Raw genomic sequence first — 17,895 nt, 5'->3', positions numbered from 1 at the left:
GGAAGAGTAGGGCTTTTAAATAAGAAACAGGGTTTGTATGATGGGCGGGGCTTTGCAAGGAGAGGCTGGGCTTTGTAGGAGAGCAGGGCTGTGTAAGTAGGAGCAGGTCTTTGTGAAGAGGAGCACATATTTATAAGGAGAAACAGTGCTTGTAGCAGCATCAGGACTTTGTAAGGTGGAGCAGGGATCTGTAGGAAGGGCAAGGCTCTATAGGGAGAAGTAGGGCTCTGTAAAGGAGCAGGGTTTGTAGGGGGATTGGGGCTTTGAAGGAAGAGCAGGACTTTGTAAAGAGGAGTTGGACTTTGAAGAAGTGGGGATTTCTAGGAGCAACAGGACATTGGAAAAAGAAGCTCTCTTTAAAAAGGAGGACTTTGTAAGTAAGAGCAGGGTTTGCAGGAGGAGCAGGGCTTTGTAAGGATAAAGTGGAATTTGTAGGAGTGGTGCTTTGTGAGGAGGAACAGTGCTTTGTAGGAGAAACAGGACATTGTTAGGAGGAGCAGGGCTTCCTAAGGATAAGTTGGGATTATTGAAGAAGTAGGACTTTGTAAGGATGAGCAGGGCTCTGTCTGAGGAAAAGTGATTTGTAGTAGGAGGAATGCTTTGTATGAAGAACATTGCTTTGCAGGAGAAGCAGGGCTTTGTAGGTAGAGTGGGGCTTTGTAGGGGAAGCAAAGCTGTTTAAGGAAGATCAGGGCTTATAGGAGGAGCAGAACTTCACAGGAAGAATAGGGCTTGCTGAAGGAGCAGGACTGTATGACAGCAAAGTCGTGAAGGAGGAAAAGGCCTTTGTAAGGAGAAAGAGGACTTTGTGAGGAAGAAGAGGTATCTGTAGAAACAAGTTTTGTAAAATGGAGCAGGGCTTTGTAGGAGCAGCAGGCTCTGTAGAGAGGAGCAGGGCACTGTAAGAAGGAACAGGACTTTGTAGGAGGAGCAAGACTTCCAAGGTTTCCTTGGGAGGACTAGAGATTCTTTGGAGGAGCTGGGATTCCAAAGAAGAGCAGGGTTTGTAGGAGGAGCAGGATAAGGATAAGCAGACCTTTTGAGGAGGAGCAAGGCACTATATGCAGAAACAGAGCTTGTAGGAGGAGCAGGGCTTCCTAAGAGGATCAAAAGTTCTTTGCAGGAACAGGTCTTTTTAGGGAGGAGAGGCTTTTGTAGTGGAGGTGCTTCCTGAGGAGCAGTTGGGCTTTGAAGAGGGAGCAGGTTCTGTAGGGATGAGTGGGGCTTTGTAAGGAGGAGCAGGGCTTCTTAGAAGGAGAACTGTGTAAGGAAGGCTGGGCTCTGTAAAGAGGAACAGGGCTTTGCTGGTTTCTACTGGTAGTGATCGCTGCATATTTGTCCTCTCCAGGCATTATTCTCTATTTGATTGCTAGTGGCAAATCCTGGCACTGCAAAGTCCACGGCAAGGGTTGGGGTGCCAAGTGGGGTTGTACATGGCTTCCAGCAAAATACTACCTGCATGTTCCCCAGCCACACGAAGAGCAGAGTGACTCCCAAGCTTCTCATGCCTGGCCTGAGTGCAAGACCCCTCTTTCCCTTTCCAAACCAGTGAAAAGATAAGTGCTGAGCCTGTGTGGACAACACACTTCTAAGACCTAAAGCAACTGTGACCTCTTTTTGCAAATGTAGGGTATGGCAGACATTAGCAGGTCACAAAACTTTCCTCTTCCTCCTTGGGATGTGGCTTCACTAGGTCCTCCGGCCTTGCTTGCTGTTAGGTGAGGCCATGTGCTGGCCAGTGACATGTGATGAAAGCAATGTGTGCTACATGTTCCAGCACTTCCCATGCACAGTCCTCCACATTCTTTCCCATTCTGCAGCAGCCTTGAAGAGAGTGGAGCTCAAATACAGAAGGAAGCCAAATTCTGCTCAGAGGAAAGCTGCTTTCCCTATCTCACCGAAGGACTGGGGTTTCTAGCTACCTCCAACGTTTCACTAACATTAAGACAAAGCTTCAGGCATCAAAATCACAATGGGGCCGAGCTAGAAACCATCACAGTGTTCCTGACGTAAATGTCTTGCTTTGGCCTAATGAATTCCTGAGGCAAGTGCACATGGAAAGTATTAATAAACAAAGCTTAGCTATCTAACTGGCTGAAGGAAACAGTCTTTCTTTCAATTCACTTGGGCCTGCCTTTGATTCCTAATTACTTTCAAAACGTTCTTTTGGATTTGATTAATCTAACAAAACAAAAAATCCTTCAAGGGTGTGTGTGTATACACCTTAACTAGTATTTGAGGGACAGTGTGCCATTTTAAAATAAACAGCTGAAGAATCCTTAGAAAATATTTATGATCTCAAATACTCAATAAATTTCAATAAAATTTGCTACAGGACTAGTACTTAAAGGAGATATTTTTAATGAAGGCTGCAATCTACAGTGACTAATATTAAAGATGACAAACAATAATAAATTATGCAATTTAATTTTTAATAACAAAGATACTGTATTTTAACATGGTGAAATATACTTGGCTAAGTCCAGATTAAAAAAAAAAAGTATCTAGCCCAACAGTACAATTATACAGCTTTGTACAGAACATTCCATAGATCAACAGAAAATACATTTGAGCACAAAAATAAAAAATATTTAAGGAGAATCTCTAAGCAGCATTTTATTTCTGCAAAAGACATATCTTGTACTGATTAAATATCTACAAGTGCTTTTCCTTTACAAAAATACATATATTCTTAATAGACTAAGTCATTAACAATGACCTGGTAATTCTTTCACTTCAATTTGAATGATTTATAAGCTAAATCTTACAACCACAAAAAGGTTTTTATTTGTATTAAGATGTTACCACTTTTGACAAAAAGCTTAAAATATTTTATATTTCAAAGGAAAATTAGCAACATAACTTTACAATATATTCTATGATATTTTGATTGTGAGGGCTACTCTATTTAAAACTGATGATCTCTGTTGTGTTGCTCAGATGCAGGAAAGCAGCAGAACCCTGGTACTCCCCCAACAAGCTCCTGTCGTGGACCACAGCTTCATAAGGACACTTAGGCCCCCACCCCCATTCTAAAAAATACAACAAAAGAACACCAAACAATGCTAGGCTGATCCCATTACATTTTTAATGTGTAGAACTCCTGCTCCAGTGGACTGATGTGCAGAGGATGGATAAATAAATTTGTTGACTATCTCTCCATCACCCAGAAATATTTAATCTTCATTTGCACTAGATTAGTTTCTTATTCCATGAAGCTCCATAAGATGGAAGAAAACTAGACTCAGTATTTAACATATCTGTTTCACTTGATTCTAGATTTAAAATTATTAAAGTTAAAAATCTCTGAAAAATCAGTCTCAGTTTGGAATTATAGAAAAAGGGGCATAGCAAGTATACAGACACATTTGAATGAGCATTTAAAATAATTATTTTTAATTTTATAACTTTCTGAAAGGAAGTGCTCGAGCATTTTAATTTTATTTGAAAATATAAAGAAAGCAAGTAAACATTATTTATGAAAACTGTATTATACTAGGAAGAGAATTACTTAAATTATTGGAAAAACATCACTGCAATAAAAACTATTGAACACTGTATTGTACATTTAAGTACATTTGAATGAACTTTCAGTCTGATATTTTCTGTCAAAATGCTACTCAACTAGGTTTGTCAGGTAAATCCAGAACAGTTATTGTGTGCCTTGAAAGGGTTTGAGTCTCTGGTGTATTTAATATTTTTCACTTTTTCATAAACCAGATCTAGCAGACATGTTCCTTATTTCTACCCAAACTGTAGGAATATATATTACAAAATATTGATAATTGCATTTCAAGTTTTGTGTTTCTAATCCAGAAAATTAAAGTTATGGCAAACTCATTCATTTTTGAAGTTCCTACTACCAACCAATATCTTATTAGTATAAAGCTTAGCTTTCTGGAAAATTCCTTATGATAAACCAGAGTATGTAATAGAGTGTGCATCCATTTTCACCCTATCCAAGGAGTTTTACCTAGTGACCTATCAGAAAGACTCCATAAGATGAGTTTTACCTTTAAGGTAGCCCATAGCATGAGTTCCCAAGGAGAAATGGTACAAGGGGGATATGGAACTTCCTCTTGATGTACATGCTTGTTCTGTGACCCATTTTGTCAAAGTTGGCTGTATGGCTAAATTCTAATAACAATAAACTAAGTGCTGAGAAACAAGACCAAGAGTTGAATTTTTTTTGGAGATGGAGACTCGCTGTGTCACCCAGGCTGGAGTGCAGTGGTGTAATTGCGGCTCACTGCAACCTCCACCTCCTGGGTTCAAGAGATTCTCCTGCCTCAACCTCCCATGTAGCTGGGATTACAGGCGCGTGCCACCACACCTGGCTAATTTTTGTATTTTTAGTAGAGATGGGGTTTCACCATGTTAACCAGCTGGTCTCGAACTCCTGACCTCAAGTGATCCACCTGCCTTGGCCTCCCAAAGTGCTGGGATTACAGGCATGAGCCACTGTGCCCGGCCTAGAGTTGCTTTTTAAGGGGAAAAAAACCACAGGTCCTTATGAAATATTTTGAATATAGAGAAAGCACTTACTTATATAAATCCCATAGAATGAAGTCTTTTCTATACAAGTAAGTGTGTTGGCACTTTTACCAAAGTCTGCCTTTAATAAAATTTCTCATATTATGAATAATACAGGAGCTAAATCTAAGCTTAATTTTAGTTAACACTGCCTCCATGAAATAAAAACCCTCTCAAATTAAAAATCTGAACTTTCTTTTCAAAGTATGTATTTCTCTCACTTTTCATGCAGAGGAAGGCTATTTGTTGTGTTTACCTCTTTCTCATCTTTGAGGATTTAGATTTACTAAGATCTGTTAGATGATGCTGAAAAACAATGAACATATTTGAAAGGAAGTGTGTTCTGATTATTGCAAGAAAAGCCTGCATTTGACTGATCTCACCAAGAAAATTCAGTTTAAAGCCTTTCTTTGGTGATATTTTAGCAATTAATCAAGGTTATTGCCTAACTATATAAAATTAAATTGCAATCTAAAAATTTCCAACCTCCAAACTGTTAAAACCGTCTCTCCAACATGGTTATTAATTTACTGTAAAATGTCTTTGGTGATATCTATATTCTTATGAAAATCTTCCAAAAAAATTAACTTACAAGAGCCTATTTAGATATGAAACCATTCATAAGAGACAGGTACAGATAACTCAAACTTTATGCAGTAAATTTAAAACAGAAATGCACTTTAGTAATGAGGCACTTTCTCTTAAATATTTCAGTAAAGCTAAACAGTTCACAATATTATATAACACACTTTTTTTCCTTAAATAATCAGTTTAAATTTAGATTACATTTGAGTGTGTAATGTAGTTGAGCAAAGTCATTACGTTTATAAAATGTGGCACATTACTATGGGATAGATGTTTAATGTATAAAGAAATAATATACTCCTCTAAGAGTAGTTAAAAGGCATTACCCAAGTTACCTGTACTCCAGACTGAGTATTACCTCATCAATGAGCATTTTAGTTTATTTTTTCATACTTTGTAAAGCTGTTTTGCTAATCTAGAGAAAAGGCCATACATATTTTGATTTCTCTATTAACTGATGTGATTACTTCAATTAAAGTAATGTTTATAAACCACAGTCATTCTTTATATCTAAGTTCCCTTGACCCTTTTATACTTATAATTTCTAAGGCAGATAAAAGAGATAACAAAATCTTTTATGGAAGTAAAGGTCTTTCAGTTTATTGCTTAAGAAACAACAGATTAAAGAAAACTTTTAGTTTTAGTCTCTGATGTTACAGATTCAGATGATTCCTATAGGTTATTTAAAGAATTCATTTTATCATTTTATAAGCACCCTAAATTTATAAAGCTAACCACAAAAGTTGCCTGTACATTTTTTCTATACCTAGTTTCTTGCAAATTCTACAATCTGACTTAAGGGATAATTAACGGGGAATACAGTGTATTACTAGACATGAAAGTAGTCCTATCCTTAGAAAGCTGTAGTTGAATATACCAAAATAAGTCAGTTGAAGAAATCTGTGATTCTAGTAGTAATACCATATCACTTAGGACCATCAAAAAAATGTGTACCTTTCTCCAAACGACAACTGATGCCTTTCTTTATGTAAGCTTTTCACGTGTTTTGGCACATATTCCATTGCATTTCAATAAAAATGTTAATGCATTATCAGTAAATAAAAGAATTCTATATAAAACTATTCTCAGTTTCATAATTGCTTCCTATATATTTCCTTGGAAAATAGTGAAATTACATATGACAAGGCAACCAGCCAAATTTAAAGAGATTTTGTAGATAAAATTCATTTATGACCATTAAGTTTTGGCTGGGGGGCCAAAACATCAAAGTCTCACTTGTGATTTTTAAAATGCACTCTTAATTCATTTTGAGTTAATTAAAATTCCATTTGCAAAACACTATTTTAATCGCTGACCTAGGTGTGACAAATTTATAATAATTTGTAAAAGTTCTTAGGGATGTCTGGGAACAGTTTCACACCATAGAAAAATAATTTCTGTAGCTAGATAGTAAATTCAGTTTTTTCAGCCATTTATAGTTAATGAAAATCTGCCTTTTAAATTCTGCTTGTGAGCCATTCCAAGAACAAAAACAATGTAACAAAACAAAGTTAAAGTATTGCCATAACCTTTTTCACCAAAGTTGGAACAACAACAGAAAAATTTAATAGACTTTTTGACTCAAAAAAAGATAGAAGGAACAGATAATTATGAAGTTTCAGCCTTTTACATAGTGAAATATATTAAGATTTAGCTGTACTTTGTATGTTTGCTAGAGTTGTACAATATCTTATTTCTAAGAATCATTTTGAAATTCAGAAGGCATTGATTTCTGATACATTTTACTGGAAAATGTGACACATTTACCACATATGCAGTATAAAAACTAAATGTGTGTAACACACAGATTGTGCTCGTCATATTTCTCAAATATTTTTCCTAACTTTCAAGATTTTTTCCTAAGTTTCAAAGGTTAGCTTGTTTGTTTCAAAGCAATTTCCAAGTAAGGTTTTTGAAAACTGTAAATATTAAAAGATTTAAAATGACAGTTTTCATATAATTTAAGGTAACAAGACTTTCTTTGACTTGCAGACTAATCCTAAAACGAATGGAAGACTTAACAAAACTGCAAAATACAGGACATTTTGTATTTCTGATCTTAATGAACTCATGTATAAAATAATAATCTTCTCATTTCCCCAATTACTACAGGATTTAAAATAAAATACCCTTAACCTATTAATTTTGGTTAGCATAGTTCTATACTGCATTTATTCTATTTTATGCACATAGTTTGGAAATGTGAAAGGTAACTAACAGTTTTAATCTACAACTGTTTTGAGACTTTTGAAATCCATAAAATAGCTAATGTTATGTGCTCTAAAAATCCTAATATTTAAAATCGTCATAACCCTCTGCATGCCACAATGACATATACCTAAGGCCAACTTAAAAAGAGAAATAATGCACTCATTAAATAACAGCAACAATGTAATGATACATGAAATGGGCTATACAATGACGTTTCATGAAGCAGCACCTGCTTGTCATAAGGCATTATGAAAGAAGATTAACCTTACTTACACATTACTTTTATCAGAAGTAAATGTGATCAGCTGCCAACATTTTGAATGGTTGGGAATCTAACTTCAGTTCAAGAGGTCACATACATTTTCAATCTGGAGGGCTAACATGCCTTCCTTGTGCAATTGGTAGACTACACGGACAGATGCTTAGAATGTCTACAATTATATTGTGCTCTAATGTTACAGAATAATTGGAATTCTTGGCAAAAGGACTTGCACACTCAAGAATGAACTTTTTTTCACACAAAAAGCTTATCAAGAACAAGACAGTGGCTCAAAAACCACTTTTCTAAATATACTTCCATACAAAATAATTTCAAGATATAATTATTAGTTTCTTGTAGAGTACGCTATTTAAACAAGAATAAAAGAGTAAGTATGTGAAAACTGCAACACCACAAAAATTGAGCCATTTTACTAGTGTAATTAAACATTAGAACAATCTTGGAACAGGCAAGCAAAATATTCAGAAGGGTGAATCATGGCGGCACAGCTAACTGATTTTTACCATGACTTGCACACTTTGAGACAACACAAATACCTTATGCAGATGGTTCAGTAGCAGAATGGCACTTGGTTTGCTCCTAATAGAAACAACATGAATGCAACTGACAATTTAGAGATAGACAATGGCCTTATTTGCATGCTGAAAATCTGGTTGTGTTCCTCTAGTCCACACACCGTTAACTGTGCAATCTGTTGACGAGTAAACAAATAGTGCAGGATTCATCTCAGTGAGGTCTGGGCCCCTTGGTCTAACCGAAATCAATTCTTGGTCGATACTGCAGTACCATAGGGTATGACTACAAAATAAAGACAGATAATAAATAAGACTGTATTTGGATAAAAACAATACAGTTTATATATGAAAGATTTTAAGAATTCGGAGTTATAATTTACAGTATTTCCTGGTACTAGTGATTACAACAGTTAAAATTTGAGTTACCATTAAAACTCTATTTCTTTTGATTGCCATTATTTTTCTAGAATCAGTCAAGTTTTCAGTAATATGCAGCAGAGGTCAAGTTCAAAGGCCTACAGACATCATACAGGTTGTATATATGACTAGTGCTAGCACAACACTTAGGAGAGGCAAGAACTGGGAAGGACTGAAAGTCACACACCCTGCTTATAGGCATTCAGTTAGTAACCCTAGGAGGCGAACAAGACAGATCAGCAGCCTGGATTCCACTAAAGCTTAGGCTGGTGAGAGCCCACTAGATCACAAATCAACAAAGAGACCCCCTCTGCTAGGAACCTGTAAAACTGGAGTAGTGTTCACAAATCATATTTCTTACAAGTTTGAAACATTTTTTAAATTTAAAATTTATTTTAATGATCCTTTAAAAATATTGAAAAAGTAGCTGATTGTTACATGAAACATTTAGGTCACTACCTCCTTTCAACAGTTGATACTAATAAACATTTGGATTTGACTATTACATAAAATAACTGAATGGTTCATATTGTTTTTCATGTCACTATGTAGAAAAGGTATCATATATCTGGCTATCATACAGAACTAGAGAGGAAACAGCTTCTTTGGGATAAAGGCATATGGCATATGCCACGCTACCTCTGTGTTTGTTTTTACCCTGTACCATATCTTATAGAACCAAAACATCAGTGGTTTTCCTTTTCTTAAAGCTGTAGATACTCTCTCTTAAAATGAAATTTGAGGAGCTACTTTTATGGAATCAAGAAGGGGCTGAGATGGTCACTGACTAATGTTTCTCCATCTTGGTATACATGAATATAAAAATACGGTATAGAGAACTTTGTATTCTTTCATATAGATAAAAGGGCTAGACTGAGATTTAACAATCCTGAAAATGACCATTTCAGTGCTTACTATAGCTATGCTACACACTGGGAAGACTCAATGTTGGAATCTGTAACCATTCAGCTCAGGATGGAACTAGAGGGCAGGAATACAAATGCCCTAGGTCTTGCTCTCCCAGGTGAAGTACAGCAGATGCTACTACAGCTGTCTAAGGGCTGGAGTAAAAGTCTCAAGACAGTCTCTCAGGGTTTCCAAGGTTTAAAACTTCTAAAACTGTTCTGGTTTTACTTGTTTTTATTTTAAACTTTATTTAGTTCCCCCTGAATCAGATTACCTGGGAGGGAGCAAGACACAGATTATCTCCATTTTACTAAACTCTGGATGTTTCTGAAGCCCAGTGAGATTCTGAGACGACCAATATCCTTTCCATTCTACCTCACCCAACCCACAGCTTGCCCTTCACTATACTAACTGCTCTAGTTTTGCGTTTGATTCCTGATTCTATTGAATTTGCACACTTTCTGCAAATACATAAGCCACTCATTTTAGAATGCATTAATCATATATGGAAGTATCCATTAATTCTACTAGGGATAAAGGTACAGAGGGAAGTAAAATGGCTTTACTGGCAATGCTTGGGATTTTCTCAGTTTCCGGCTGAAAATGATTTTGTTTTCTCCTCCAAGTAGCCATTTGTTGTGTGTTCTATAAGAACATATGAAGTTTAATAATTTTATTGAAATGTGTCACAACACTGAAAATTGTAAAGATATATTTTAAGTTCTATTTGTGTTTTGGTTTTCTGAAATAAAATGGCACCACACTAACAATAATCAAATATGGCTTATAATTACCTCTTAGTGTTAAGTGACTGCACTAAATAGACCTGCGTTTCAGTTTCTAGTCCTCAAGGCTCATTATGTAATAAAAATAAAGAACAGATACTTTCAGAGAATACATTTCAAATAATTTTAGAAAATGATAAAACTGCCTTTGATGTACTTTTTTCCTTAAAGAATGAATTATTTTTGTCAAAACTTGTTTTTAGTGTAGATTTGGAAAATACAGAATGGTATCAAGAAAAAAAGGAAAAGTATTTAAATCCTACCATCCAAAGATAACTACCATAATAATTTTAGTGTATATTCCTCTACTCATTTTATCTACATTCGTTTTTTTTTTTCAAAACTGGAATCATGCTAAACATATTATTTAGTTTCATTTAAATTTTTTATCTATTTAGCAATTCCACAAACCTATTTCCATACCATTTGGTACGGTGCTACATAATTTTTAACAGCTGTATATTATGCTGTTATAGAAATGAACTGTGAGTTATCAGTAAGTCTCCTTTTGCTGCACATTTGAGTTTAGTCCTTTTTTCCTTTGCTATTATAACTTAATCTTAACCCACTGATCTATTTCTTTTGCCCCAGGATAGATTCCTAAAAGCGGAACTGCTAGTTCAAACAGCATACATATTTTAAAGAGCTTTTTGATAAACACTTTTACACTGGTCTTCAAGAAGGTAGTTCTGGCTGGGCGCAGTGGCTCACGCCTGTAATCCCAGCACTTTGGGAGCCCGAGGCGGGCAGATCACGAGGTCAAGAGATCAAGAACATCCTGGCCAACACGGTGAAACCCCGCCTCTACTAAAAATACAAAAAAAAAAAAAAAAAAATTAGCCGGGCATGGTGGCGCATGCCTGTAATCCCAGCTACTAAGGAGGCTGAGGCAGGAGAATCACTTGAACCTGGGAGACGGAGGCTGCAATGAGCCAAGATCGCACCACTGCATTCCAGCCTGGCAACAGAGCAAGATTCCATCTCAAAAAAAAAAAAAATAAAATGTAGTTTTATTTTTCTACATTTTTAAAAGAAATTTGAATGCCCATTCCTCTATAGCCTCATCAATAATGAGTACTATCTTTCCCCACCTCTTAATTTGGCAATTTAATAAGCATAAGATAGTATTTTTTTTTCATTTCTTGACTGCTAAGAAAGTTAATCATTTTTATATGTTTATTAGCCCATTGTGTTTCCTTCTTGTGTATCTTGCCTGATCATGTCCTTTGCTCATTTTTATGAAAAGCTGAGCTTTTTCTTACATATTTGTATGAATTCTTTATGTATTAATAACATTAAACCTTTTTCTATCATACATTGCAAATATATTTTATGATATTTTTGCCATGTGCTTTTAATATTAATAGTCAATTCAATTTTTTTAGGTACAACGTGAAAGGCCATCCCCACTCTGAGATCAGTTCTTCAACTATATTTTCTTCTTGATCTTTTATAGTATCATTTAAAATATTTACCATTTTAAGCCATCATAAACCTATACTGATATAAAATGTGAGGTAGAATTGAATTCCCCACCCAGTCTCAGTATAATTAATTAAAAATAAGCCCTACTAGATCTGCACTGTCGTGCTCCAGCCCCACTGGCCTCCTTGCAATTCTCAAATAACCAGACATAATCAATTCTCAGGGCCTTTGCAGTGTGTTGCCTCAGGCTTCAGTGCTCTACCTCAGATATTCACATAGCAACGTCTCTCAATTTCTTTTGATCAACAATCCACCACCTCAAAGAGGGCTTCTCTTGGCTATCTTATTAAAACTATTCTATTTATCTATTTTACTTTTTCTTCTAACACTATAAATTTTAACCTGTTTATTTTTTGTCTGTTACCATCATTAGTGTAAGTTCCATGAAAGAAAAGATTTGTGCTCATTTTTACTTCTGTAACCTCGAAGGCCTAGAAGACTGCCCAATGCATAATACTCAATAGGTATTTGTTAAATTAATCATTTTACTGCATTAATTTGAAATACCCTCTTTACAGACTCATACATACTAGGGTCTGTTGCTGAGCTATTCTTTTTATTCATATGTCTATGTTTAAGGCAAGACCTTATTTTAATTACTTCAGCTTTAAAATATGTTTTAGTATGTGGTAGTACACATTCCCTCTCATTACTCTTTGTAAAAACATGACTGATCGAAGCACCTGCTGATATTTCCTTATGAGCTTTAGAATGACTGACTTTGTCAAGTTAAACAAAGATCTGGTAAAAGTGTGTTTGGAATTACATTTAACTTTATAATTTAATTGTGGGGTGAACTGGCATCTCTATAAAATGTAATGTACTATTACATATATATATACATACACAGATTGATTAATAAGGAGATGAGAAGAGAAAGAGAGGGGAAGAGGAGGCAAAAAATGTGGCAAAATGTTAATTGATGAATCTAGGTAATCATAAAGAATATTCCTTTGTATAATTATTTCAATTTTCTGTTGTTTTGAAAAATTTTTCAATAGGAAAACATCAGGACTTCACATTGAATTTTATCAAACACCTTTTCAGTATCTACTGATGATTTTTAACCTAGAGTATATATGTATAAAATATATAAAATGTATAAAATATTTTATATTATACACTATATAATATACACTATATTATACACTATTATAATACACTATATTAGTGTATTATTTATCATCTACTTATATTCAAAATCAGATTTGGTACCAGTTTTCTAATTGTGGGTTCTCTGTCAGTTTTTGCTATTAAGAATGGCAAAGTGGAAGGATTCCACCTTTTCTAATGATTAACAATAGATACAGCATAGGAATGATATATTCCTTGAAAATTAGAGAGAATTCAGAACATAAAACCATTTAGTTATCCTTTCAGGAAGTTAACGGTGCATCCTATTAGCTACAAGTTCAATTTCCTTACAGGACTATTAATGAAGACTATTAATGAGCCATTAATGAGGTGTTGAAGGAAGAAGAGGAAATTTGTATGGATTTAGAAATTTGGTCTCACTCCAGTTTTTCTCTAATACTTTGGATCATGGTTTAAGGACATCTTCATTTCTAAGGAAATACATAGGCATCAACACCAAGAGTAAAAGCAGAAAGACACATATTGCACAGGTTATAGCTACAGGCAGTGTTATCGTTACAATTCAGCATTCCCAAATCAGCCATGAGGCTAAAGCAGCTGAAACATCTATACACCTCGGATATACACAAATCTCACCAGCTCAGTTAAATTATTTACCCCAGACCCTTATCTGCATAGAGAGAAGAATGATCTTTCTCCCTCAGACTTGGCCTTCAGAGATGTTAAATTTACTTACTAGATTGCTGAAAAGCTAGGACTTAAAAGAGTATGTATCAAAAAGCACACATTTTAATGAAGGCACGAGAATTCCCATATCATAGCACTGACAAAAGGCTGAAGAAAATTCTAGATAAACTGCTAATTAAACATTTTCAATTAGCAATTTCAAGTGATTCTTTTAATGCTTAACATACATTCATTTGTCCCAACTCCAAAACTGTAACACTGGAGGTAAGTATGCCAGTTAAGTTTGTTATGTAATTACAATTATCCTTTCTCCCTGGCTCCAAGGAAATAAAGATGAAAACTCATTTAATTATTGAAATAAAAGAACGGTGGATTTTATTATTTTATTATTTATTTGTTTGTCTGAAACAGAGTCTTGCTCTGTCACCCAGGCTGGAATGCAGTGGCACAATCTCAGTTCACTGCAACCTCCATTTCCTGGGCTCAAGCGACCCTCCCGCCTCAACCTCCTTAGTAGCTGGGACTACAGGGGTGTGCCACCACACCCGGCTAATTTTTGTATTTTTTGTAGAGATAGGGTTTCACCATGTTGTCAAGGCTGGTCTCAAACTCCTGGACTCAAGAGATCTGCCCGCCTCAGTCTCCCAAAATGCTGAGATTACAGAGGTGAGCCACCGTGTCTGGCCTAAAAAAATAATTTTTTTTTGTCTTGCTATATTGCCCAGACTGGTCTCAAACTCCTGGCCTCAAGCAATCCTACATCCTCAGCCTCCCAAAGCACTGGGATTACAGGCATGAGCCACTATGCCTGGCCCAACAATGGATATTTTAAAGAAATGGTATGATTAATTCACAGGGTTAAGGCTGATCATCAATCACATCTGTACCCAACAATAATCTTTACTATACCCTTGTCTGTTTCCCAAATTTTTAAAATGTATCTTTATCAGATAAACTTTCCTCAGACACATGTTCAACTTTTCTTAGTGCATTACTAAATTAGCTCACTATCATTTTTAAAGAGGTAACTCAAGTAAAGTACTAGGGAAGGGCTAATAAGCAAGCTCATAATTAGAATCAGCTGTTGCTGTTATTTAGCTTCACCTAATTTGGCATTTTATATTTCACTTGTGGTTGAATGATTCACTGAAAAATAACATTCATACAAAGAAAGTAACGTCTCAAAATCCAATATGGAGTAGAGATTTCTCAAGGACTGAAAGTAGTAATTATTAAAAATTCCTGATTCATAAGTAATAGCCTTAACATTTCTAATTTTTTAGTTCAGTAAAATTAAATAGATAATTCAGGAGAACTAAAATAATGGGAAATCTTGGGTATATAAGTTGAAAAGATAAGTTTTTGTAGCTCCAGTAACAGTTTTACAAAGTTAAATGTCTTAGGAATTGAGTTTGGGATGAATGTGCTCACCGCCATGGTGTCATGATGGTCATATGTACAGTCGTGAGTGCCTCTTACCTGATACAAAGGGCCATCCTGAGAGCAGACTTGCGAAGCTGAGCAGTTCAGACACCGAAACTGCGGAGGAGATGAACTCATCAGATAAGAGGCATCCACAACTGGACACATATTTAAAATTGATTATTTAAAATAGTTTAACGTCAAACACAAGAGTCAACATGATTAATGGTAAATAAACACTTTCCAAAAAAATGGTGGTTGTTTTTGAAAAAAAGATTTTAATAACTTAGTAACTGGTAAAATTTAGCTTGAAGTAATTTTAGCATCTAGATGAGTTTTGTTTAATATTCTGCAAATGCAAAAATGGTGGCCTCTCCTTTCCATATCCTTTACAAATACTATTTCCTGGGAAAATCTCACTTCTTGCATACACGAGGGACATCCTCTTTCTTCCATCCCTTCCTCTGATCACTGTCTCCTAGATCTCTTCTTCAACTTCCCCTGAAAGTAATACTGTTCAAGGAAATCAGAGCTCTGGGAGGGACGTGGAACTCCGCTCAACCTGTAAGGCATCTATTTTCTGTTTTATAGTAGGTTCTTTATGTTGCTTTATATTGCTGATTATATATATATTAGATTATATATATATATAGCATTAGATCTATATTTTAGTCACATTTGTGGTCTTAATAGCTAAGGCCCAGAACTGGCATATATCAGCCATCAGATGTTTTATGAGTAAAGCAATGAGTGAACACACTTTAAAACTATTGAGTAGATTCATTTGTAAACCTACTACTTTAAAACAGTTTATTCACATTTAAAAAAATCATTCCCAAATCCTAATTCTTAAATACTATGCTAAACTCTTATTAAATGTAATTTTAATTGTAATTGGACTACAAAACATAAAATGTATACTTTAAAATTATGCATATATGAATTCAACATTGCATACTTTTCAAAATGGAAAAAATTAAATACATAAAAAATATAAGGTACAAATTAACCAGGATATTTCTAACATAGCAAAGTAGGTTTTTAAAAGATATACTTTGAAAGATTTAAATAAGCATTGATTAAAACAAATATATTTGTAGCCTTTTAAATAAAATTTAAGGAATTTTCTATTTTCCCGAAATACTTTAGTAATTTTTTTCTCTAGCAGTCAGTCCTTGATTTTAGGTACAGTGTGCATCAACATGCTGTAAGGCGGGCTCAGCTCGGCTCTCTTTTAGCAACCTTCTCCTTTCTCTCCAAAGAGTCCCCAAGCTCTGGTCCATCAGACTTTGCATAACATTGAGAATTCTAAACAGGGTCAACAAGAGTAAGCTGGAAAGTGGCAATTTCACTAAGTGATTCTTTTTTTTTTTTCTATTGATCTCTTTGGTATCAGTCAAGATGTATATACTTGCTTTTCTTACAATTGCCTACTAATGCAAATAAAGCAAAGGAAGACAAGCATGGTGTAGTAACTTTAGGTGCTGGACTGGCAGAGGTTGCTGGAAGAGATAAAACTAAATCAGGATGAGCTGGGAAAAGGGGGCTGTACTGAGAACTACCCAAGAAAAGGTGAGCAGGAAGAACGTGAGTACACGATGAAAGCTAAGGCTGGATAGAGATATTGACAATAAGCTCTCAGGGATGAAACTAAGTGAAGGAGGAGAGAATTATAGTCATAATAAACGTTAATATGCATAAGTTATTAATAACATTTATGTCAGACACTCTGCTAAACACTTCAGTATATAATATTTCATTAATTCTTAGTTTTACCCAAATTTGAAAGAATCAAAAAACTGAGGCAAAACTAGGAAGCAGGACACAATTGGAAGAAAATAGCTGTAACACATAACAGCAAAAGATTCATATTCAGAACACATAAAGAGATCCTAGAAGTCATTAACAAAAAGACAAACATGATGAAAAAGAACCAAGGGAATGAATATGATAGGTAAGTTCACAGAAGAAATATAAAATAGATGATATGCAGTGTTGGGGAGGATGTCAGAAAATGGGCACTCTCATTCATTATTGGTATGATTATAAATTTCAAATAATATCCACTAAAACCTTTTCAGAGGACAATTTGTATCTATCAAAATTTAAAACATGCATACTCTGCTGAAAATCTACTTCTAAGAATCTAGCCAATGGATATGCTTGCATATATGTAGTAGGTACTGGAACACCTTGCTTGTAATGTCAAAAAATTTGAAAAAAATCTAAATGTCCATCAAAGGGGTGTGTTAATCAAATTATGCTACAGCCACAAAAGGAGTTATTATTAATGTATTAAAAATTGTTTCAAAGTTTACTGATTCTGCACAAGACACATTATCAAATTTTAAATCAGTTGTAAAACAATACATATGATTCCATTTATGTTTCAAAAAATGTGATGACCCCTGGGTATGAATATTGTGAAGAAAGTCCAAGTATTAGATGGATGACAGATCAGATGATATGACATAAGTCCCTTCCAAACTGAGATCTGATTCTGTAATTCTGCATCCTCAATTTATAGATGTGGAAACTACAGGGAAAGTCAGTAGTCACAGATCACATCTCCTGAAACACTATTACTCAAAGGATGGTCCAAAGATCAGATGCATTAGCATCTCCTGGGAGTTTGCTGGAAATACAGTATCTTGAGTCTTATTCCCAGACCTACTGAGTCAGAATCTGTATTTTACCAAGATCCTGAGATGATCTGAATTTGCATTAAAGATCAAGAAGCATGTTTTTTTTTCCTTTTTCCTCCCACTAATAAGAAAAAGATTAATGCCAAGCTTGAGTATAGAAACTTGAGGTGGCAATACTGATACGAACTGAAAAAATTTTACGAGCTAAGTCTGACCAGCTGTTTGTTTTGATTCCTAAAGATAAAAATCTTTCAAAAATGCATCACAATGGAGACAAGGGTCTAGAGAGGGCAGGGACCATAGAAAACAGGCTTAGCCTGAAGTGGAAC

At 35.0% G+C, this 17,895-nt stretch overlaps 1 protein-coding gene across 16 annotated transcripts in view, besides 1 other annotated feature; it reads right to left on the bottom strand.

The window, feature by feature from the left end:
• Positions 1,713–2,288: an enhancer, noted in NCBI's record as "OCT4-NANOG hESC enhancer chr10:93044145-93044720 (GRCh37/hg19 assembly coordinates)". NCBI's record gives its function as "activates a minimal SCP1, AML or CMV promoter by ChIP-STARR-seq in naive and primed H9 embryonic stem cells {active_cell/tissue: H9 hESC(naive and primed)}" and the evidence as "EXISTENCE:reporter gene assay evidence [ECO:0000049][PMID:30033119]".
• PCGF5 (polycomb group ring finger 5) overlaps positions 2,339–17,895 on the bottom strand; it is a 128,119-nt gene continuing 112,562 nt past the window's right edge. For 9 of the 16 annotated variants that reach the window (XM_017016776.3, NM_001257101.2, XM_047425846.1 and 6 more), the window contains 2 exons: positions 14,979–15,038; positions 2,339–8,407 (listed from right to left, as the gene is read on the bottom strand). In XM_017016776.3, coding sequence (XP_016872265.1) covers positions 8,360–8,407; positions 14,979–15,038 — 108 coding nt within the window. In that variant the 3' untranslated portion in view covers positions 2,339–8,359. The remainder of the gene's footprint in view (positions 8,408–14,978; positions 15,039–17,895) is intronic. The other 7 variants (XM_017016777.3, XM_047425843.1, XM_047425849.1 and 4 more) reach the window with 1 other exon arrangement.

Source organism: Homo sapiens, chromosome 10 (assembly GCF_000001405.40).
Source record: "Homo sapiens chromosome 10, GRCh38.p14 Primary Assembly".
NCBI classification, from domain to species: Eukaryota; Metazoa; Chordata; class Mammalia; order Primates; family Hominidae; genus Homo; species Homo sapiens.
Note: the sequence above shows the minus strand (reverse complement) of the source record. Positions and strands in the feature narration are given on the sequence as shown.